Source organism: Homo sapiens, chromosome 20 (assembly GCF_000001405.40).
Source record: "Homo sapiens chromosome 20, GRCh38.p14 Primary Assembly".
Taxonomy (NCBI): Eukaryota; Metazoa; Chordata; class Mammalia; order Primates; family Hominidae; genus Homo; species Homo sapiens.
Window position 1 is genome coordinate 31,884,271 of NC_000020.11, and position 23,209 is coordinate 31,907,479.

General features: G+C 44.3%; 1 protein-coding gene and 1 pseudogene across 10 annotated transcripts in view, besides 1 other annotated feature; both read left to right on the forward strand.

Moving 5' to 3' along the window:
- Window positions 1-23,209, forward strand: part of TTLL9 (tubulin tyrosine ligase like 9) — a 74,367-nt gene that overhangs the window by 13,637 nt on the left and 37,521 nt on the right. For 9 of the 10 annotated variants that reach the window (NR_148014.3, NR_134519.4, NR_148012.3 and 6 more), the window contains 2 exons: window positions 2,926-2,969; window positions 14,203-14,295. Coding sequence is in view for 2 of the 10 variants with exons in the window: in NM_001008409.5 (NP_001008409.1) it covers window positions 2,926-2,969; window positions 14,203-14,295 (137 nt within the window). In the remaining 8 variants the exon portion in view is untranslated. The remainder of the gene's footprint in view (window positions 1-2,925; window positions 2,970-14,202; window positions 14,296-23,209) is intronic. The other variant, NR_160277.2, reaches the window with a different exon arrangement.
- Window positions 10,816-10,865: an enhancer, noted in NCBI's record as "active region_17702". NCBI's record gives its function as "activates an Ori minimal core promoter by ATAC-STARR-seq in GM12878 lymphoblastoid cells {active_cell/tissue: GM12878}" and the evidence as "EXISTENCE:reporter gene assay evidence [ECO:0000049][PMID:35858748]".
- Window positions 16,984-17,156, forward strand: RNU1-94P (RNA, U1 small nuclear 94, pseudogene; annotated as a pseudogene).

Sequence of the window (23,209 nt, forward strand, 5' to 3'; positions counted from 1 at the left end):
GCTGGAGTGCAGTGGCGCAATCTCAGCTCACTGCAACCTCCGCCTCCTGGGTTCAAGTGATTCTCCTGCCTCAGCCTCCTGATTAGCTGGGATTATAGGTGTGTGCCACCATGCCCAGCTAATTTTTGTAATTTTTAGTAGAGATGGGGTTTCACCATGTTGGCCAGGCTGGTCTTGAACTCCTGACCTCAAATGATCTGCCTGCTTCGGCCTCCCAAAGTGCTGGGATTACAGGTGTGAGCCACCGAACCTGGTCCCTATCTTACAGTTCATGAGATCAGAAGTCTGAAAGGGGTCTCGCTGGGCTAAAATCAAGGTGTTAGCAGGGCTGCCTTCATATCTGGAGGCTCTAGGAGAGAAACCCCTTTTCTAGTTTCTGGAGGCTGTCTCATGGTCCCCTTTCATGTTCAATGGCAGTTCTTCTCACATTGCGTGACTCTGACACTCTGACATTGACTCTGCCTTCTTCCACATTTAAGGATCCTTATGATTACATTGGGCCTGCCCAAAAAATACAAAATAATCTTTCTATTTTAAGGTTCTTTGATTAGCATCCTTAATTCCATCTGCAATTTTAAATCCCCCTTGCGTTCTAGGGATCAGGACATGGACATCTTTGGAGGTGGCCTTTTTCTGCTTATTACAATTTACTATCAGCAGGTAGAAAACGAAATTTAAAAATACTGTATCCAATAGCATCATAAAATCAAATACCTATGAATGAATTTAATTAAAAATGTACAAGGCTGCTATACTGAAAACTAGAAAATAGAAAAAAATTTTTAAAAGATTTAAATTAATGGAGAGACCATATTATTCATGTATTGGAAGGCTCAGTACTTTATAATGTCACTTCCTGAAAATATCTGTAGATTCAATGCAATCCCAGTCAAAATCTCAACATGTTTTTTCGTAGAAATTGGCAAGCCAATTCTGAAATTTATGTTGAAGTGCAAAGGACCCCTAATTGCAAAGACAATCTTGAAATCAGAATTTACTCTACCTGACTTCAAGATTTACCAGAAAGCTACAGCAGTAATTAAGCCAATATGATAGTGACATAAGGATAGACAAGTAAATAGAACAAAACACAGTCTCGAGATAGATCCACGTATGCATGGTCAATTGAATTGTGACAGACGTGCCAATGCAATTCAATGAGGAGAGGAAAATTTTTTTAACCAAAGGCTCTGGAGCAACTGGATAAACATATGGAAAATGGAATTGAAAGCATGAGAGAGGATTAAAGATAAAATACAAAAAGACAAGGACAGCTTGACTAGTGTTGGGGGAGTTGGAAGGGCTTGAATGGAAGAATGAAACAAGATTTCACTGTGTTTCAGTGGGGCTTGCTTCTGCCAGTTTTGTAAAGCAGTTTCCTCCACTCCTCTCCGCCGCTCTTTGAGGGGTAGGCTGGTGTGCTAAGCAGAATTCTCAGATGGGCCCCAAGATTCCCACCCCCTAGAGTACATGCCTTGTACAATTCTCTCTCCTTGAGCATGGAGGAGTCTGTGAATTTGATGGTGTGGTTACTATGGTGGTTACCTTCCATTACTTAAGACTCCATCATAGGTGACTTGGAGAGGGGAGGATTGGAAGTCAGAGGGACGTGCTCCATGTGGCCTGGAGGAAAACAAATTTGCATGTTGTGAAGTGCCTGTGGGGGCCACACTGCAGGGAGCTGCAGGCAGCCTCTAGGAGCTGAGAGCAGTCCCCAGCAGACAGCTAGCAAGTAAACAGGGACCTCCGTCCTACAACCCTAGGCAACTGAATTCTGCCTACAACCTGAATGAGCTTGGAAGGGGACCCCACACGCCAGATGAGAGCCATAACCCCAGCCATCACCTTGACTGTGGCCTTGTGAGAGCTGAGCCAATGATGCAGCTAAGTCATGCCCACGCTCCTGGCCCATGGAAACTGAGATAATGGATTCCCATCATTTTAAGCCACTGATTTTGTGGTAATTTGTTACCCAGCAATAGAAAATGAATGCAGATGGCAGGTCTGTCCCAGCTGCAAATGTCATCCTGCACAGGACCAATTTCGATTTCTCTCTTCATACGTGCCTTAGGAATTGGTCTTCCCAGGACAGAGGGCCAAGCTGTTTTGGACATGGTTGAAGTGAAATAATACCCACCACCCACTGAGGATTTGAAAGGTCCAATTGGGGTGAAAGGAATGAACATTGCTCTGAGTCTTTGACCTAGCCCCTTCTGGGATCCTCAATTTAATCAAACATTCCAAGTTAAGAGTAAAAAGTCCAGATCAGCTGGGTACGGTGGCTCACACCTGTAATTCCAGCACTTTGGGAGGCTGAGGTGGGTGGATCACCTGAGGTCAGGAGTTCCAGACAAGCCTGGCCAACATGGCGAAACCCCATCTCTATTAAAAATACAAAATTGGCTGGGTGTGGTGGTGGGTGCCTGTAATTCCAGCTACTAGGGAGGCTGAGGCAGGAGAATCACTTGAACCTGGGAGGTGGAAGTTGCAGAGAGCTGAGATTACACCACTGCACTCCAGCCTGGGTGACAGAGCGAGACTCCATCTCAACAACAACAACAACAACAAAAGCTCAGATTCTTCTCACAGAGTGTATTGAACTGAGCTTTCAAAACTGGGGTTCAGGGCTGACCTTTGGAGTACTGAAAACCAGGCATTTGCTATACTGGTCATACCTGTGGAGCAAACCTGCAGTAAGGTGGTACCTTGGATACTTGGGAGTTCATTCACAGCAGATAAATTCTGGTCCATTTGCTGGGGACATGGTGGCCAGTGGGAACTTGATCAGGCTGGACCTTCGTGTCTCAGAACCTAGGCATTGTTGAGTCTGACGGTTTGGGCATTTTAATATCTGCAGTAAGTTAACCTGGGAAAACAGGGCAGATATACAAAACCAGTTACATCCTTTTCCTTTCCTCATTGCAGAACCAAAATTACAAGGGCCATGGATTGTCAAAGGGAAAAGAGCGGTGAGTGGTCCCATCCAATCCAACAATCACAGCGCAACCAACTTCTCTCCCTCCCTCCCCTTTTCAATCCCTCTCTCCCTTTTCTACTTCAACAATTATAATGAAAATGATAGTAGAAGGAGTAATGCTAAACCATTATTGAGCACTTACCATGTGCCAGGCTCTGGGCCTGTCACTTTACCTGTATTAGCTCATTGAATCCTGACCACAACCATTTGAAGTAGATACTACTATTGTGTCCATTTTACAGATGGAGAAACGGAAGCTCAAAAAGGCTAAGTGACTTGCTCAAGATCACATGATCAGTTAGGGGCAGAGCTAGTTGGACTCCAGGGCCCACTGTCTAACTTTGGTCTCTCCTGCCTCCTTCAACAACCCTGTGATGACTTGATGACTTGCATGTCAGCTGTGCTCTGATCTTCTGCTTCACTCTGCATGGATAACCTGCATGCCAAACCCAGCACCCCTTTGGATCTCCTAAAGAGAATCCACTTGCACAAAGGAGGAGTGAGCAACGTAGACTTTACTGAAGATTTTTGTGGGGAGTTAGAGGAGGTAGTTTACATAGCAAATGTTTTAGATAGTTTATTCTTTGGTTCATTAGATATCTCCTCTCCTCTTCTCTTCTCTTCTCTTCTCTTCTCTTCTCTTCTCTTCTCTTCTCTTTTGAGTTTCACTCTTGTTACCCAGACTGGAGTGCAATGGCACAATCTCAGCTGATGGCAAACTCTGCCTCTCGGGTTCAAGTGATTCTCCTGCCTCAGCCTCCCGAGTAGCTGAGATTACAGGTATGCGCCACCGTGACCAGCTAATTTTGTATTTTTAGTAGAGACAGGATTTCTCCATGTTGGTCAGGCTGGTCTCGAACTCCCGACCTCAGGTGATCTGCCTGCCTCGGCCTCCCAAAGTGTTGGGATTACAGGCGTGAGCCACCACGCCCAGCCAGATATTTTTGTTATTTCTAAAGTCCCTCCTGGCTATACTACCACTGAGGAGGGCATGTGTGATTTGAGATGCTTCTCTCATGCAGTGCCCATCTTCTTTGCCTTCTTTCTCTCCATACTGACTATCCCACCAACTTCAAATCTCTCACTCTCTTATGTAGTGCAATTCAGCAATGTTCTGAATCCTGGCCCTAAACATACATGCCCACCTTAACAAAACAAAGAGCACTTAACAGGCCTGTGTTAGGCTGTTTTTGCATTGCTATAAAGGAATACCTGAGACTTTTTATTTATTTATTTATTTTGAGACAGAGTTTCGCTCTTGTTGCCCAGGCTGGAGTGCAATGGCCTGATCTCGGCTCACTGCAACCTCTGCCTCCTGGGTTCAAGCGATTCTGCTGCCTCAGCCTCCCGAGTAGCTGAAATTACAGGTGCCCGCCACCACGCCTGGCTAATTGAGACTGAGTAATTTATAAAGAAAAGAGGTGTAATTGGCTCATGTTTCTACAGGCTGTACAAGCATGGCACCAGCATCTGCTCAGCTTCTGGTGAGGCCTCAGGGAGCTTACAATCATGGTGGAAGGCAAAGGGGGAGCAGGCATGTCACACGGCAAGAGTGGGAACAAGGGAGAGGTCCCAGGCTCTTTTAAACAACCAGATCTCCCGTGAACTAAGTGAAAACTCACTTATCACCAAGGGGATGTTGCCAAACCATTCATGAGGGATCCATTTTCAGGATCCAACCACCTCCCACCAGGCCCCACTTTCAACATTGAGAATCACATTTTAACTTGAGATTTGGAGGGGACAAACATCCAAACCATATCAAGGCCCCATCTACTTATTTTATAAAGGCACACACACACACACACACACACACACATATATTTACCATAAAATATTTTTTATTTATGTGCCTTATTGAGGGCACATATAGATATGTGTTCCACTACCAGTAAGAGAAAACTCATAATAGTAGCTTAAACAAATTGTATTTATTTTATTCACAAAGAGTGAAGAAAAAGAGTCTGGAGTGCTGGTACAGTGGTTCAATAATGTCAGAGCCAGCATCTTCATGATTGCCTTTTTTTTCTTTTTTTGAGACGGAGTCTCACTCTGTTGGCTGGAGTGCAGTGGTGCGATCATGGCTCACTGCAGCCTTGATCTCCCAGGCTCATGCAATCCTCCCATCTCAGCCTTCTGAGTAGCTGGGACTACAGGCTCATGCCAGTGCACCTGGCTAATTTTTTTTTTTTTTTTTTAGACTCTTGCTCTGTTGCCCAGGCTGGAGTGCAGTGGCGTGATCTCAGCTCACTACAACCTCTGCCTCCCGGGTTCAAGTGATTCTCCTGCCTCAGCCTCCCTAGTAGCTGGGACTACAGGCACCCATCACCACACCTGGCTAATTTTTGTATTTTTAGTAGAGACGGAGTTTCACCATATTGGCCAGACTGGTCTCGAACTCCTGATCTTGTGATCCACCTGCCTTGGCCTCCCAAATGCTGGGGTTACAGGTGTGAGCCACGGTGCCCGGCCTAGCTAATTTTTTTAATTTTTTTTTTTTTTTGTAGTTATGAGGTCTCACTATGTTGCCCAGGCTGGTCTCCAACACCTGGCCTCAAGTGATCATCCCACCTCGGCCTCCCAAAGTGTTGGGATTACAGGCATGAGCCTTCATGATTGTCTTGACCTCTTCCTCATGGAGACCAAATGGCCACTACAGCTCCAGCCTTCATGTCATGATCAGGACAGGAAGAAGAGGGGAGGGAAGAATCAAGCCACATCTCTCTCTTTCTTTCTTTCTTTCTTTCTTTCTTTCTTTCTTTCTTTCTTTCTTTCTTTCTTTCTTTCCTTCCTTCCTTCTTTCTTTCTTTCTCTTTCTTTCTTGCTTTCTTGCTTTCTTGCTTTCTTTCCCTCCCTTCCTTCCTTCCTTCCTTCCTTCCTTCCTTCCTTCCTTCCTTCCTTCCTTCCTTCTTTCTTTCTTTCTTTCTTTCTTTCTTTCTTTCTTTCTTTCTTTCTCTTTCTTTCATCAAAAGAGCAAAACTTTCCCAGGAACTTACCCTTTCTAGCAGTCTTATGTTTCTATCTTATTGACTAGAATTGTGTCACATGGCCACCCCAACTGCATGAGTAGCTAGGAATACAAGTTATGTAAGTGTTGTTGTACTGTTATTACTATTCTGCACCCTGCTTTTGTCACACAAAATGATATGTTTGGTGTTTATCCACATTGGCACCTGTAGCTCTGAATGCATTTTAACTGCTACCTCTGTTTCATTGTGTATCGCAAGTTATTTACCCATCTTCCTGTGGAAAGGCACTTACGAAGTATTGGTTCCACTAGAAACTGACCCTGAGGGAAGGATGTGAGAGCAAGTGGTTTATTTGGAAGGTAATTCCAGTGAGCACTGACAGGGAAGTGGGGAAATAAGACAGCTAAGGAGAGAAACCAGTAAAAGGTGCATCATCGACAGGTAATTGCTGTGGACAGTGGGCTGAATCCCCCAGGGAATTCCTGGGAGAACGTAGAATGCACTGCAGACTTATCCTAAGTGAGAGATGAGAGACTTAGCGGATTTATCCACCAACTCCAGTCGTCACTGGTTGTATGCTGTTGGCAGAGGGTCAGTTCACGCTGGTGCTTCCAATCTGCTCCACATGCTGGCTGAGCAGACTCCGGGGGCCAGGGAAAACCCTCAGGTAGCATCGAAGGTGCTGGCAGTGGGAAGCTCTTTGATTTGCATGCACAGGAGTGGTGAATGCCAAAGGGATATGGGTGGACCACCAACAGTTGTGCCACAGGTTATTTCTATAAAAAATATTAACAATTACATATAAGCATCCTTGCTCACGTGTTTCCTGGTAGAAATGCAGAGTACAAACCCAGGGTATAGAGCTAGGACAGGTTGCTGAGTTTAGGGTACGTGCATATTCGACTTTACTAAAAACCGCCCGGTGACCCTGCAAAGTGTGTTCTACCAGCAGAGGAGGAGTTTCCATTGTATTCCATTGTTGCCAAAACTTGGACCTTTATATTTTTGCCAGTCTGATGTGTGTGACATAGTCCTTGATCTTTGTAATATGCCAAATTGCTCTCCAAAGGTATGTCCAATGTGCACCCCATCAGCATTGTAAGATAATTGTCATTTCTCCACATTCTTGTGAATATTTGGTATTTGTCTGATTTTTAATATTTTCTGCAAACTGATGGATTTTGAAATTGTATCTCTTTGTCGTTTCGGGTCTATTGCATGTATTTTTAGTAGTTCATGTTGTCTCCTCTATTGACTTTTAGCTAAACCTCCTTATTTTATCTTTTTTTTTTTTCATATTATTTGTAGAGATGAGGTCTTGCTATGTTGCTCTGGCTGGTCTCAAATTCCAGGGCTCAAGTGATCCTCCCACCTTGGCCTCCCAAAGTGCTGGGATTACAGGCATGAGCCACCATGCCCAGCCTATTTGATATTTTAAATGGTTACTTTAGAGCAGTGGTTCTAAAAGTTTAAGCTCAGGGTGGGTCCCTTTACAACTTAAAAATAATTGTGAACCCAATTGACTTTTGTATATGTGGCATACATCTAACAATGTGTACCATATTAAAAATTTAAGCTGATAAATTTTATTTTATTTTATTTTTGAGATGGAGTCTCACTCTGTCACCCAGGCTGGAGTGCAGTGGTACGATCTTGGCTCACTGCAATCTCCGTCTCTGGGGTTCAAGCAATTCTCCTGCCTCGGCCTCCCGAGTAGCTGGGATTACAGGCATGCACCACCACATCTAGCTAATTTTTGTATTTTTAGTACAGATGGGGTTTCACCATGTTGGCCAGGCTGGTTTTGAACTCCTGACCTCAGGTGATCCACGCGCCTTGGCCTCCCAAAGTGCTGGGATTACGGGCATGAGCCACCATGCCTGGCCTAAGCCGATAAATTTTTAAAATACTTATTAATTCATTTAAAAAGCAAAAAAATACTCATTACATGGTAGCATAAACTTTCTTTTTTTTTTTTTTTGAGACAGGGTCTCACTCTGTCACCCAGGCTGGAGTGCACTGGTGTGATCTCAGCTCACTGCAAACTCTGCCTCCTGGGTTCAAGTGATTCTCGTGCCTCAGCCTCCCAAGTAGCTGGGATTACAGGCCATCACGCCTGGCTAATTTCTGTATTTTTAGTAGAGACGGCCACCATGTTGGCCAGGCTGGTCTGGAACCCCTGACCTCAAGTGATCCACCTGCTTCGGCCTCCCAAAGCTCTGGGTTTACAGGTGTGAGCCACTGTGTTCGGCCCAACATTTTTGTGAGTTATAGTTATATTTCCCCACCAAAATGTACTGAGATGAGTAGTAGTCGTTTTACATTTTTGTGACTCTCTTTAACGTCTGGCTTATTAGAAAACATTTGACTTTCCAGATCTTCTGTGTTCAATCTGCTGTGATAGATTGTTTTGGTTGAAGGACAGGAAGAAAATCTAGCCTCACAAAGATAGTATTTGGAAAAGGGAAGATTTGTGTACCCTTGAAAAAGAGTTGGGGACCCTGAGGAATACTTGAGACCACACTTCACAACCTATGGCTCTAGGGGATTACAATATGCATCCTTACCTTATCACAGTCTACCTTGAAGCATAATTACACCACTTCATGCACAACTAAGAACCCTACAGCAACACACTTCTGTTTGCTCCCCTCTGATCGTTTGTGCTGCTATTTTTGTCATATATTTACTTGTAAATATGTTATAAACCCTTCATTACATTCTCACTATATTTGCTTTAAATAGCTACTTGAATTTTTTTTTTAATTAAGACATGGAAGAAAGTATTCCATATTTACCCCACTCATCATTCCTTCTGAATTTCCATCTGGTATAATTTTCCTGCAGCCCGAGGAACGTTCTTTAGTGTTTCTTATAGTGTGGATCTGTTGGCAATAAATTCTCTCAGCTTTTATTTATTTGAAAATTGTCTTTATTTCACTGTCATATTTTAAGTAAAGTTTTACTGGATATAGAATTCGAGGTTGATCTTTTTTTCTTTAAGCACTTGAAAGATGATATTCCTTTGTCTTCAGGCTTATGTTGTTTCTGATGTGAAGTCAGCTGTTCTTTTTCTTTTTTTTTTTTTTTTTGAGACAGAGTCTTGCTCTGTCACCTAGGCTGGAGTGCAATGGTGCAATCTCGGCTCACTGCAACCTCCACCTCCCAGGTTCAAGGGATTCTTCTGCCTCAGCCTCCTGAATAGCTGGGATTACAGGTACCCGCCACTACGCCTGGCTAATTTTTGTATTTTTAGTAGAGACCAGATTTCTCCATGTTGGTTAGGCTGGTCTTGAACTCCTGGCCTCAGGTGATCCGCTTGCCTCAGCCTCCCAAAGTTCTGGGATTACAGGCGTAAGCCACTGCGCCTAGCCAAAGTCAGCTGTTCTTGTCTTCCACTCCCACTCTCCACCACCCTCACCCCTCTATGCGATGTGTCTTTTTTCCTCAGGCTTTTTTTTTTTTTTAAGACTGTTCTGTTTTTCAGCAATTTGACTATGGTTTACCTGGGTGTAGTTTACGTTGTGTCTGTCTTGCTTGGGGTTAATTGAGCATCTTGGATCTGTGAGTTGATAATTTAATCAAATTTGGAAAATTTTTTAGCCATCATTTCTTCAAAAAATATTTTCTGTCCTATCTCTTCCCCATCTCTTTCTTGAACTTCAGTTATATGTATGTTAGACTGCTTGATATTATCTCACGAGTCACTGAGGTTCTGTTCATGTATAAATTTTTTCTCTAATTCAATTTGAACAATTTCAATTAGACTGTTTTCAAATGTACGGTTTTTCCTTCTCAATGCCTAGTCTCTTGTTAAGCACATCCATTGAACTTTCAATTTCAGATATTATAGTTTTCCCTTCTAGAATTTCCATTTGGTTCTTTTTTTTTTTTTTTTTTTTTTTGAGACAGGGTCTTGCTCTGTCACACAGGCTGGAGTGCAGTGGTGCGATCATGGCTCACTGCAGCTTTAACCTCCTGGGCTCAAGTGATCCTCCCACCTCAGCTCCCCAGGTAGCTGGGACTACAGGCACGTACCACCATGCCTGGCTAATTTTAAAACTTTGTGTAGAAATGGGGTCTCACTGTGTTGCACAGGCTGGTCTTGAACTCCTGGGTGATCCTGCCACCTCAGCCTCCCAAAGTATTGGGATTACAGGTATGAGCCACTTGGCCATTTGGTTCTTTTCTGCAGTAACTCATCTATTCACACATTGTATCCATCTTTTCCCATAAATCCTATAACATATTTATAATAATTTTTAAATTTCTTCTCTAATGATTCTGATAACTGGGTCATTTATGGGTTTATTTCAGTTGGCTCTTTTTCCTCTTGATTATGTATTACATTTCCCTGCTTTGCTATTGCATGTGTTATATTTTTAGAACTGCACTCTGGATATTGTGTATGAAAAACAATTGTATATCATAATTTTTTAGTCTTTATATACATATACATATATACACATACATACACACACTTTATATATATATACATGTATATACACACACACACACACACACACACATACGTACACACACTTTATAGAGTATGCGAGCTCCTTCCTCTGACTAGCAGGTTTAGGGGCTGATCATTCAGATTCCTCCTAAAGCTGAGTTGAACATGGGTTGGGCTGCAGCTTTAATTAAATTGCGTGTACTCCAATCCAACCTCCTTCACTGCCGTCTTGAGCTTGTTAGTATTTGAGCTATGTGGGGCTGCAGTGCTGATTATTGTTTAATTTATTTTTATTTTTAGAGACAGTGTCTCACTATGTTGCCCAGTCTGGTCTCCAACTCCAGTTTTTCATCCATCAACATAAAAAAATAGAGACAAATCTCCAAGTAAAAAGGTTTTATTTGGGAATAATATACAAGAAGTAGAACTGCAATCCAGGATGTCCACATAGACTAGGGCAGCCCCCAGCATGTCTGAGAACAAAGGAAAAGTTTAGGGTTCTCTTGGGGAAAGAGGAGATTTACGTAAGTTGTTTCAAAAGAAAGTTCATTGGCGCTAGCAGTGTTTTTTATGAGAGCTGGCGAGTTCAGTAGCAGATTGGTGAGTGTCAGTAGTTGCTAGGTAGGACTTGGAGTCTCGGAGTTCTTGTTAGGCCCTTGCAGTTTTGGATTGGGCCTGAGAAACCGTGTCAGGCTAGTGTTCCTGTGTTAGCTGCTAGCTGCCCTTGTGCTGTTAGCAGTACTCTTGTCTCATGTGGGAAGCTGTGGTTTGGAAAATGTTCTTGTGAAAGTTCTTATTATCTGGCAAATCATGCATGAGACTCCTCCCTTCATGACCTTTCCTGGCTCTGTATTTTTATTTTTTTACTTTTTATTTTTTGAGATGGAGTCTCACTCTGTAGCCCAGGCTGGAGAGCAGTGGTGTGATCTCGGCTCACTGCAGGCTCTGCTTCCCAGGTTCCAACGATTCTCCTGCCTCAGCCTCCCGGGTAGCTGGGATTACAGGCACATGCCACCATGCCCGGCTAGAAGCTGGGAAAGGCAAGGAAACAAATTCTCCCATAGAGCCTCCAAAAGGAATGCAGCCATGCCAACCCATTTCAGTCCCTCTGCCTTCTGGAACAGTAAGGTTATTCATGTATTTATTTATTTATTTATTTATTTATTTATTTATTTATTTATTGAGACAGGGTCTCGCTCTCTTGCCCAGGCTGGAGTGCAGTGGCACAGTCTCGGCACACTGCAACTTCCATCTCCCGGGTTCAAGCGATTCTCCTGCCTCAGACTCCCCAGTAGCTGGGATTACAGGCACCAGCCACCATGCCCGGCTAATGTTTGTATTTTTAGTAGAGATGGGGTTTCACCATGTTGTCCAGGCTGGTCTGGAACTCCTGATCTCAGGTGTTCTGCCTGCCTCAGCCTCCCAGAGTGCTATGATTACAGGCATGAGCCACTGCGCCCGGCCTGATTTTTTTGTATTTTTAGTAGAGACGCGGTTTCACCATGTTGGTCAGGCTGGTCTCCAGCTCCTGACCTCAAATGATCTGCCCGCCTCAGCCTCCCGAAGAGCTGGGATTATAGGCGTGAGCCACCTAGCCCGGCCCCCTGGCCCTATTTTGCCAGGGTTTGACACAAGTGATTCCATTTTGAATCTGACAACTTTCACACACCACTAATTATAATGTTAGCTCGAGTTTTTTTAAGATGCTTTTATCAAGTTGATGAAGTTCCTCTCAGAGTTTTTAAATGAATGAGTGTTTAATTTTTGTCAAATGCCTTTTCTGCATCAATTGATATAATCATGTGATTTCTCCATTTTAGTCTGTTAATATGACTGATTACATTGTTTTTTTTGTTGTTGTTTTGGTTTTTTTTGAGACAGTCTCTCTCTGTCGCCCACACTGGAGTGCAGTGGTGCTATCTCGGCTCACTGCAACCTCTGCCTCCCCAATTCAAGCGATTCTCCTGCCTCAGCCTCCTGAGTAGCTGGGACTACAGGTGCCCACCACCACGCCTGACTAATTTTTGTATTTTTAGTAGAAATGGGATTTCACAATGTTGGCCAGGCTGGTCTTGAACTCCTGACCTCAAGTAATCTGCCTGTCTCAGCCTCCCAAAGGGTTAGGATTACAGGCGTGAGACACCATGCCTGGCTCATGGATTAATTTTTGAATATTGAACCAGCCTTGCCTACTGGAATAAACTCCGCTTGGTTATGGTGTATAGTCCTTTTTATATATTGCTGAATTCTATTTGATTGCATTTTGTTAAGGATTTTTCCATCTACATTCATAAGGGATATTGGTCTGTGGTTTACTTCTTGTGTACTGTCTTTGGTTTTGATATCAGGTTAATACTAGCTTGGCAAAATGAATTAGGAAATTCTCCCTCCTCTTCTATTTTCTGGAAGAGATTGTGTAGGATTGGTGTTAATCCTTCTTCAAATATTTGGGGAAATTCTCCAGTGAAACCACTGAGCCTGGAGATTTCTTTTTTGGGAGGTTTTGAATTATGAATTCAATTTCCTTAATAGCTATAGAGCTATTCAAATTACCTATTTCATATTGGATGAGTTGTAGTAATTGTGCTTTTTGAGGAATTGTTCCATTTCATCTAAGCTGTCAAATGTAGGTGTGTAGAGCTGTTAGTAGCATTTCCTTATTGTGGCTGTGATACCTGCGGGCTCCATAGCGGTAGCCTCTGTTTCAGTCCTCATATTGGGTAGTTGAGTCTTTCCTTTGTCAGTCTTGCTGACAAATAGGTTTGTAGATTTTATTGATCTTTCCAGAGAACTTGCCTTTTATTTTACTGATTTGCTATAATGTTTTTCTGTTTTTGATTTTATTGATTTCCAGCTCTCCTCTAGGCCCCCTTTAACATCACCCCAGAGTGGGAGGGGCACTTCATTACGGCCAGACTGGGGAGGAAGTCCAGGCTCCACACATGGTCTCCACTGCTGCAGTGGGGGTGGGAGGCTCATTACCGCCTGGCAGGGATGAAAGCCTGGCTCTGTCTGTGGCCTTCTCTGACAGCACCGAGCGGGGGTGTTGGGTGCCCTGCTGCAAACTCAGGGGAAGTCTGGACTCCCTACTCGGCCTTTCCTGGCATCACTGGGAGTGGGCCACAGATGTGTTCTTGGGGGTCTGGCTGGAGTAGAGCAGTGATTGCCCAAGTCCTCTGTCTGGCTAGGCCGCTCCTTTCTTGGTCCTTTGGCTAGGACGGGGTGCTTTTGTCGAAGCTTTTGTCGTCTATGCCCATTGGCATTTCTGGGTTGGTGGCTTTTCATCTCCATATCTGAACTATATGAGACAAAAAGGAAACCCAGGGAATTCACCACCATGTAGTTCCCGTGGTCCTGAAATCTCCAGCCAGTCTGCCTTCTTCTCTTTCAGTCTTATATTTGTTTTATAGATAGTATCTTGAGTTTTCAGTTGTATCAGTAGGAGGAATAGGAAAAAGTACATCTGCTTCATCTTCCCAGATGATTGCCAGGAGAGGGCTTTGCAAATACTTATCATTTCATGTAAGGATTAGTCATAGCACATGGAAAGCAACCAGACCATGCCTGGCACATAGTAGGCTTGGATACAATGATCGTTATTTTTCAATGATTTGAAGATTCTGTAATTCTCAATCTGATTATGTTAAGTGTTATCATGCTCTAATGCTAAATTCTGAAATACAGTGTGGAACTTTCCAGGTATGGAACTTGACTTCTCTTCCTCCTTTTTTCCTCTCCTTGCGCCATCCTAGGAAAATCATTGATCCTGAGCAAATGTTCATTGCCTTGTCTTGCAGAGAGCAGAGAGCATCGATCCGGTTCAAGACCACCCTCATGAACACACTCATGGACGTCCTTCGCCACAGGCCAGGATGGGTGGAAGTGAAGGAGTAAGACCCTCCCCCCAGCCTTGTCCCTCCTTCCCTTTGTCTCACAGGTCCTTGTCTTCCTTTGTTTTTCTCCCAGTTCCCCTGGGTGGCCACTGGGACTTGTCCCAAAGTGGCTGTGACATTTATTTAGCACCCACAATGTGCCAGGCACATTATCACTATCATCTCTGTCTTATTTAAGCCTTCCAACTAAACCGTAAGATAAGATTATGTTCAGAGTTAGGAAACCAATTGCTTAAGGTCACACAGCATTGTAAGCATCAGAGCAGGATTCAAACCCAGGCACGTTTGTGTCCTGTGGTTTTCAGTAGAAACTAGGAATGTAGCTACCACAGACCTGTGGCCTGGATCCTCCAGTGACGGGTCCAGATCAAGGACTGCTCTTCCCTGGCCACTTGCTAGTTCTGTGACTTTGGCCTGTAAGCCTACCTTTCTTCTTTCATGCTGGCCTCTGGGGATACTGATTGAGACAAACCAGCATGTGATGCCTGGCACAGAGTAGGTGCTATTAGTTATGGCTAAGGTTTGGATGTATGCAATGGAAACCCAAAGTAAAAGAGGCTTCGACATGCTAGAAGTTTATCTGTCTCATTGAAGTCCATATGTAGGAAGTTCAGAGATGGTAAGGGGGCCCCACAGAAATGTGGGATCCATCTGCTTCTGTCTTTCCATTCTACTATCCCTTAGGTGAGGTCCTTGTTTTTCATAGTCCAAGGTAGAGCTCCAGTCTTGCTTTCACATTCCAAACAGCAGGAGGTAGGCAGGAGGCAATAAAAGGCATAGGCCAGGTGCAGTGGCTCACACCTATAATTCCAGCACTTTGGGAGGCCAAGGCAGGAGGATTGCTTGAGTCCAGGAGTTCAAGACCAACCTGGGCAACATGGCAAGACCCTGTCTCTACAAAAAATTTTTTAAAAAGTTAGCCAGGCATGGTGGTGTGTGCCTGTAGTCCCAGCTACTTGGGAGGCTGAGATGGGAAAATTGCTTGAGCCGAAGAGGTCGAGGCTGCAGTGAGCTGTGATCACACCATAGCACTCCAGCCTGGGTGACAGAGCGAGACCCTGACTCAAAAAAAAAAAGAGAGAGAGAGAAAGAAAAGGCAAGCCCATCCCTTGAAGGACACAACTCAGGAGTCTCTCACAGCTTACTGGCCAGACCTTAACCATGTGGCCAAACCCAGCTACAAGGGAATCTGGAAAATGTTGTTTTTTTTTTTTGAGATGGAGTCTTGCTCTGTCGCCCAGGCTGGAGTGCAGTGGCACAATCTCGGCTCACTGCAAGCTCCACCTCCCAGGTTCACGCCATTCTCCTGCCTCAGCCTCCCGAGTAGGACTACAGGTGCCCGCCACCACGACCAGCTAATTTTTTGTATTTTTAGTAGAGACGAGATTTCACTGTGTTAGCCAGGATGGTCTTGATCTCCTGACCTCGTGATCCGCCCTCCTCGGCCTCCTGAAGTGCTGGGATTACAGGCGTGAGCCACTGTGCCTGGCCGAATCTGGAAAATGTAGTTTTTATTCAGGGAAATACAGGCTACATTTTCCCAAGTAAATGCTGAAAATTCTTTTACTGTAGAGAAAGGGGAAAAGGGATAGGAGGGGTAGCTGCCCTGCTGCGTGGTGCTCAGGAAATATTTGCTGCTTACCATTAGCTAAGTCTGCTGGACACTCTAACATTTCGCATGCATGATCTTTTAATCATCCCAACAAATCTTTCAGGTAGGTGTTATCATCATCCCCATTTTACTAATGAGAAAACTGGGCACAAAGTAGTGAAAATGCCATGTTTGAGGTCACTCAGCTTGTGAGGGTTTGGGCTGGGATTTGCATTGAGTCTGCTGTCTGCAGAGCCACAGCCTCATCTTATAGTGGCTTCTCAGTGGATTGAAGCAACAAATGAGCAGATGTTATGAATCTGTGATTCCCACTGCTTGGGAAGGCTTTACTAAATCATCCCATGAAAAATTAGGAGTTGGCTGTGGTGCAGGTAACTCAAGACACCAGCGTCTTCTCTTTAGGGCTTTGGGGAATATTACAACAATGACAGTGATGTTGAGGATGTGGTGATGGCAGCCTTTGTGGATTTGCCTTCTTGGTTCTCTTGTGATCATGCTAATATCCGCACAGGGTTTCCTTCCCTGGATCCAGAGAACGGGTGTCATGAAAAGTGCTTGGGGGGAGTTGGGAGGAGAGTTAGAAGAGAGTGAGGTGACTAGCAGGTGGGGGTGGTGTAGGGGAGAGAGAGCAATGTCCCCATCTGCTGTGTGACCTCTGTCCACTCCCTGCCCCTCTCCTGCCTCTGCTCAATGGGCAGGGGAAGAGAGTCTGAGGATTTGTCTGGTGCTAACAGTGTGGGAGCCCAGAAGCAGGGTGCTCCATGGCTGGTCCCAGATTGTCTCAAGAATCCTTAAATCAGGAAGGGCCCAGAGGCCAGGGCCTTTTCCTTCAACACAGCTCTGTGAATCCAAGGCCTCATCCTTTAGGACCTAAGCTGGGTCTGGAATTTCCAGACAGAATCAGGTCTCAGTTCAGACTGCCAACCCATCAGGTCAGTTTAGAACAGATGTGGCCAGAGCTGTCCCTTCCCTTGCTTCCCCCTGAGAAAGATACATGAAGCCTTGGAACTATAGCAACCATACTGTGACCCCGACACGATGAGCATGAGGACACGTTAAGGATGGCAGAATGGATACTTACCTGGCAGGGGAAATGCCATGAGTGGAAGGAGGTTTTCTCAGGGCAAGGCTCATGTATTGCTCTCCCGATGTGCTGACCCCTGCGATTTTCTCCAATGTGGGAAACTCGATTGTGTAATTTATGATGGTCGGAGACTGGGAAGGTGGAAAGAACCTGAATCTCCACTGACCTTGTTAAGAGGCAATTTGATGTCTTCCTGGGTGATTTAAGAGCAACTTGATTGTGACAATCATGAAAATGGTGTGCAAATGAATGAACTTTTGGTATCAGAATAGAATACGAAATCCACACGGTGGTCTACAAGGCCCTGCTTGATTGGGCCCTTCCCAACTCTTCAGTTTGGTCTCTGACTTCTTTCCTTCCGCCCTGGCTTTTCTTAGTGTTCTTGAACATGCTCTTCCCAACCTCAGGGCCCCAGTCCCTGCTCTTCCCAGTGCTAGAACCTTCCCCATTGCTTTTGACTAGGCTGCACCTCCTTATCCTTCAGATCTCAGCTGAAAGGTCCTTCCACAGGGTGACTCCACCCAGCGTAGGTCCCTCAACTACCCCGCCTCATGGCCTCTACTGGATCACGTGGCGGCTCACTTCACAATTCTTTATTATAGAGTTGTTTCCTTGTTTATTGTTAATCTTCCCCACAAGACTGTGCGCACCACCTGGCAAGGTATTCTGTTTCCTCCTGTATCACTGGCATCCAACATGGTCTCTGACACAGAGATAACCTCAACACATACATGTTGGAAGAAAAAATATATAAAATCTTTTTAATTTTGATAAGTCCAAAAAATGTATATATATAGAATTTCGTGTCTTTTAGCATATTCACAAAGTTGTGTAATCATCACCACTTTTTTTTTCCCCCACATACCTGCTGTGTCAAAACCACTATCTAATTCCAGAACATTTTCATCATCTCAGGAAGAAACCCCATACCCACTAGCAGTCATTCCCATTTCTCCCTCCCTCCAGCCTCTGTCTTGGGCCTTGTCTCTATTTATCTATTCTGGACACATCATGTAAGTGGAATTATACAATATGTAACCTTTTTCCTGTCTTCTTTCACTTAACGTAATGTTTTCAAGGCTCATCCATGTAGCAGTATGTATCAGTACTTCATTCCTTTTTGTTTGTTTGTTTGAGATGGAGTCTCGCTGTGTCGCCCAGGCTGGAGTCCAGTGGCTCGATCTCGGCTCACTGCAAGCTCTGCCTCCCGGTTTCATGCCCTTCTCCTGCCTCAGCCTCCTGAGTAGCTGGGACTTCATTCCCTTTTATGACTGAATAATATTCTGCTGTGTAGGAGTACCACATTTATTTATCTGCTCATTAATTGATAGGTGTTTAGGTTATTTCCACCTTTGGGCTGTTATACATGATGCTGCTGTGAATATTCATGTATGAATTTGAATGGACATATGTTTTCACTTTTTGTTGGTGTATACATAGGAGTGGAGTGACTGGGTGATATGATAACTCTATGTTTAACTTTTTAAGGAACTGCTAGACTTTTCTGAAGTGACTATGCCATTTTACATTAACACCAGGAGTGTATGAGGGTGCCGATTTTTCCACATCCTCACCAACTCTCGTTATTATTCATCCATTTATTTATTTATTTATTTAGAGAAAGGGTCTCTCTCTGTCACCTAGGCTGGAGTGCAGTGGTACAATCACAGCCAACTACAACCTTGACCTCCCGCGCTCAAGTGATCCACCCACCTCAGCCTCCTGAGTGGCTGGGACTACAAGCACACACCACCATACCTTGCTAAATGTTTTAAGTTTTTTTTTTGGAGAGATGGGGTCTCATTATGTTACCTAGACTCATCTTGAACTTCTGGACTTGAGTGATCCTCCTGCCTCTGCCTCCCAAAGTGTTGAGATTATAGGTGTGAGCCACCGTACCCACCCTCACATTTATTATGGCCATCCTAGTGGGTATGAAGTGGTATCATTGTGGTTTTGATTTGCATTTCCCTGATGGCTAATGATTTTTAGCATCTTTTCACGTGCTTATTAGCAATTTATAAATCTTCCTTGAAGAAATATCTATTGCCCATGTTTAAATTTAGTTGTCTCTTTATATTCGAGTTATAAGAATTTTATCTTATAAGGGTATTCTTATATATGATTTGCAAATACTTTACTTTCTTCCATTTTGTGAGTTATCTTTCCTCTTTCTTGACTGTGCCTTTTGCGGTAAAAACTTTTTCATTTTGATAAAGTCCAATTCACCTATTTTTTCTTTTGTTGCTAGTGCTTTTGGTATCATATCTAAGAAACCATTGCCTAATCCAAGGTCACAAAGATTTACTCCTATGTCTTCTTCTAAGAGTTTTCTAGTTTTAGCTCTTACATCTAGATCTTCGATTTAATTTTTTATATGGTGTGAGGTAGGTGTCCAACTTTAATATTTTAAAATACTTATTTTTAAACTTTTTTATTTTGAAATAACTTTAGACCTACAGAAAAGTTTCAAAAATCATACATAGCTTCCTCTTTTAGCAGTTTTACCACCTTTCCCTGTTAGCAGCTTATGTAATCACAGTACATTTGTCAAAGTCAGGACATTAACATTGATATATTACTGTTAACTAAGCTGCAGACATCATTTGAATTTCACCAGTTTTTTTCCACTAACATCCTTTTTCTGTTCCAGAATCCAATCCAGGATCCCACTTTGCATTTAGTTGACCTTTTTTACCTCAAATATATTTCAGTTCCTTGGTCTTTATTTGTCTTTCATGCCCTTGACACTTTTGAAGAGTACATTTTGTAGAATGTCCCTTGAATTGGATTTGTCTGATGTTTTCTCACCATGAGGTTATGCATTTTGGCAAGAATACCACAGAAGTGATGCTGTGCCCTTTTCAGTGGAACTCATCGGGGGTTTGTGATGCTGATGTGTCTTATCACTGGTGACAGTACCTTGATTGACCATTAGATTAAGGTGGTGTCTGCCAGCTTTCTCCAGTGTAAATTAACTTTTTTTAAAAATAATAAGTATCTTGTGGGCAGATAATCTGAGACTATGCAAATATCTTGTTCCCAACAAACTTTCACACAATGGTTCTAGCATTTTTTGATAATTCTTTTTTTTTTTTTTTTTTTTTTTTTGAGACAGGGTCTCACTCTGCCGCCTAGGCTGGAGTGCAGTGGTACAATCATGGGTCACTGCAGCCTTGACCCTCTGGGCTCAAGTGATCCTGCCACCTCGGCCCCCTGAGTAGTTGGGACTACAGGCCCATGCCACCATGCCTGGCTAATTTTTGTATTTTTTGTAGAGATGAAGTTTAACCACGTTGACCAGGCTGATCTCGAACTCCTGGGCTCAAGTGATTCTCTTGCCTTGACCTCCCAATGTGCTGGGATTACTGGCTTGAGCCACCGTGCCTGGCCTTTTTTAAGGATTCTTGCCTAAATCTATTATTATTACAATAATTGCAAAATGGTTACTCTCTGTCATTCCTTCTACATGTATTAGGTGGCATTCTTCTGTAGAGAAAGTTTTTCTCTTCCTGTCCCTCATTTAATTATTTAGTATCAGTTTGGCTCATTGCAGTCTATCATCTTGCCTAGAGGTTACCACACCTAGATTTTCCCAATAGGAAGCTGAGGCCCAGAGAAGAGGGCAAGGTCACGTAGTGCCAGTGCCTGTGTTGACTCCTGGTCTAGTGCTCCTTGCACTGTGTGACATGGCTTGGTACAAACATCAGGGTGGAGAAAAGGCAGGACTGGGCATCTAGATGAAGCCCCAGCCAGCCAGCCGGGAATCTGTGGCACTATGGTATCTGAGGGTTTATAGAGCACATGGCCATTTCTTTTTTTTTGAGATGGAGTCTCACTCCGTTGCCCAGGCTGGAGTGCAGTGGCACAATCTCGGCTCACTACAACCTCTGCCTTCTGCGTTCAAGTGATTCTCCTGCCTCAGCCTCCCAAGTAACTGGGATTACAGGAAACTGCCACCACGCTGGGCTAGTTTTTGTGTTTTTTTTTAGCAGAGACGGGGTTTCACCATGTTGGCCAGGCTGGTCTCAAACTCCTGACCTCAGGTGATCCACACGCCTCGGCCTCCCAAAGTGCTAGGATTACACGCATAAGCCACCGTGCCCAACCAGCACACGGCCACTTCTCCAGTGGGTTTCCATCAGTTCTTGAAACCGTTCTTCCGAACCACTGTGCCTGGGGCACAGCCACAAGGGAGGTTTGGAGAAGGACCAGGCCCCAGATTTTCATGAGTAACTTAGGACAAAATTTGGAAACCGTAGATTTCTGGTTCCAGTGTCATTCCATTACCACGTGCTTCACGTCACCACATCTGTGCACGGTGTGTGCACAGATGTCCATCTCTGGACATCTCTGAGCTCAGTGAAAGGCTGGGTCTGTCTGCCTGCCTTAAAGCCCCTCTGCACATGGTGTGACATTCAGGAGAAACACCAACCCAGCAGCCACAAGGAGAAGCAATTTAAATCTTTAGTTCTTTGAAAATTCCAGGCCGGGCGCGGTGGCTCACGCCTATAATCCCAGCGCTTTGGGAGGCCAAGGCAGGCGGATCACCTGAGGTCAGGAGTTTGAGACCAGTCTGACCAACATGGAGAAACCCTGTCTCTACTAAAAATACAAAATTAGCTAAGCGTGGTGGTGCACGCCTCTAATCTCAGCTACTCTGGAGGCTGAAGGAGGAGAATCGCTTGAACCCGAGAGGCGGAGGTTGCGGTGAGTCGAGATCGTGCCATTGCACTCCAGCCTGGGCAACAAGAGTGAAATTTCATCTCAAAAAAAAAAAAAAAAAAAAAAGGAAAGAAAATTCCAAAGGGATCTCCATTTACAACACAAGGCCCAACTGCTTGGCCATTGTTCCAGTTGCTATGGCTGTGTAACAAATCCCAAAACTTAGCTGCTTAAGACAGCATTGCATTAGGCGCGGGGCTCCTGAGTCAGGGACTCTTACAGGACACAGTGGGACTGGCTTGTCTCTGTGACATTGGGGGCATCAGCTGGGAAGAGTCCAGATCTGGAGGTCACCTGGTGGCAGGAGTTGTCTGAGGGCATCTGACTCACACGTGTGGCAGTCGATGCTAGCTGTCTGTGGGGATCTCACTAGGGCAGACAGCCGAAGAAGGTTCTCATGGGTTCTCCTTGCGGCCTCACGGCCCCGCAGCCTCTGGATAAGGGATATAGTGTAGGAATCTTTTGGAACTACAGTCTGCCCCTGCATCCTCCCCATTGGTCTTGTTCAGGGCCTCTTCCTTCATCATCCCAAGGTGATGGTGATGTCTCTTCATTTTTCTCCATTTCTGCCTCAGACCTCCTCCAGATGTCTTTTAAAACTCAGCCTACTTGTCTATATTAGAGAAAAGGGGTGGGGAGAAAGGGAGACAAACCAAACACCTTTTTTTTCTTTTTTTTGAGATGGGGTCTCACTCTGTCACACACGCTGGAGTGCAGTGGCATGATCTTGGCTCACCACAACCTCCACCCCCCTGCTCAAGTGATTCTCCCACCTCAGCCTCCTGAGTAGCTGGGACTACAGGTGCATGCCACCACTCCTGGCTAATTTTTTGTGTTTTTGGTAGAAATGGGGTTTCACCATGTTGGCCAGGCTGGTCTCAAACTCCCAAACTCAAACAATCCATCCACCTTGGCCTCCCAAAATACTGGGATTACAGGTGTGAGCCAGCACACCCAGCCCCAAACACCTTTTAATAGGAAAATGGATATACTGTGGCGTGTTCACCCAATGGAATGGGAAATGGCAGTTAGAATAACTCGACCCCTATGTATCAAAAGGATCGATCTCCAGAACAAAAGTTTGGTGGGAAAAAAGCATGTTGTGAAAAGAAACAGACAGGAGGGGTTCTAACCACAGAGCTTGGACTCTGGAGCCTGAGGCCTGAGTTCAAATCCTGCTCTGCCACTTACTAACTGCATGAACTAGGTGAGTTTCTCTGTGTGCCTGCCTCCATTTTCTCATCTGTAAAATGGGTATAATAACAGAACCTAACACTTCAGGTTGCACTGAGGATCCGTGAATGAATATTTGTGAAGTGTTTAGAGCAGTGCCTGGTACATGGTAAGCAATAAGTATTAGCGTTAGGTTTAAAATCATGACAAACAACGCCATGTGCCATGATGCATGGATACACACATATATACATGATGAAACTATAAAGCCACTGCAGGCCGGGCACGGTGGCTCACACCTATAATCCCAGCACTTT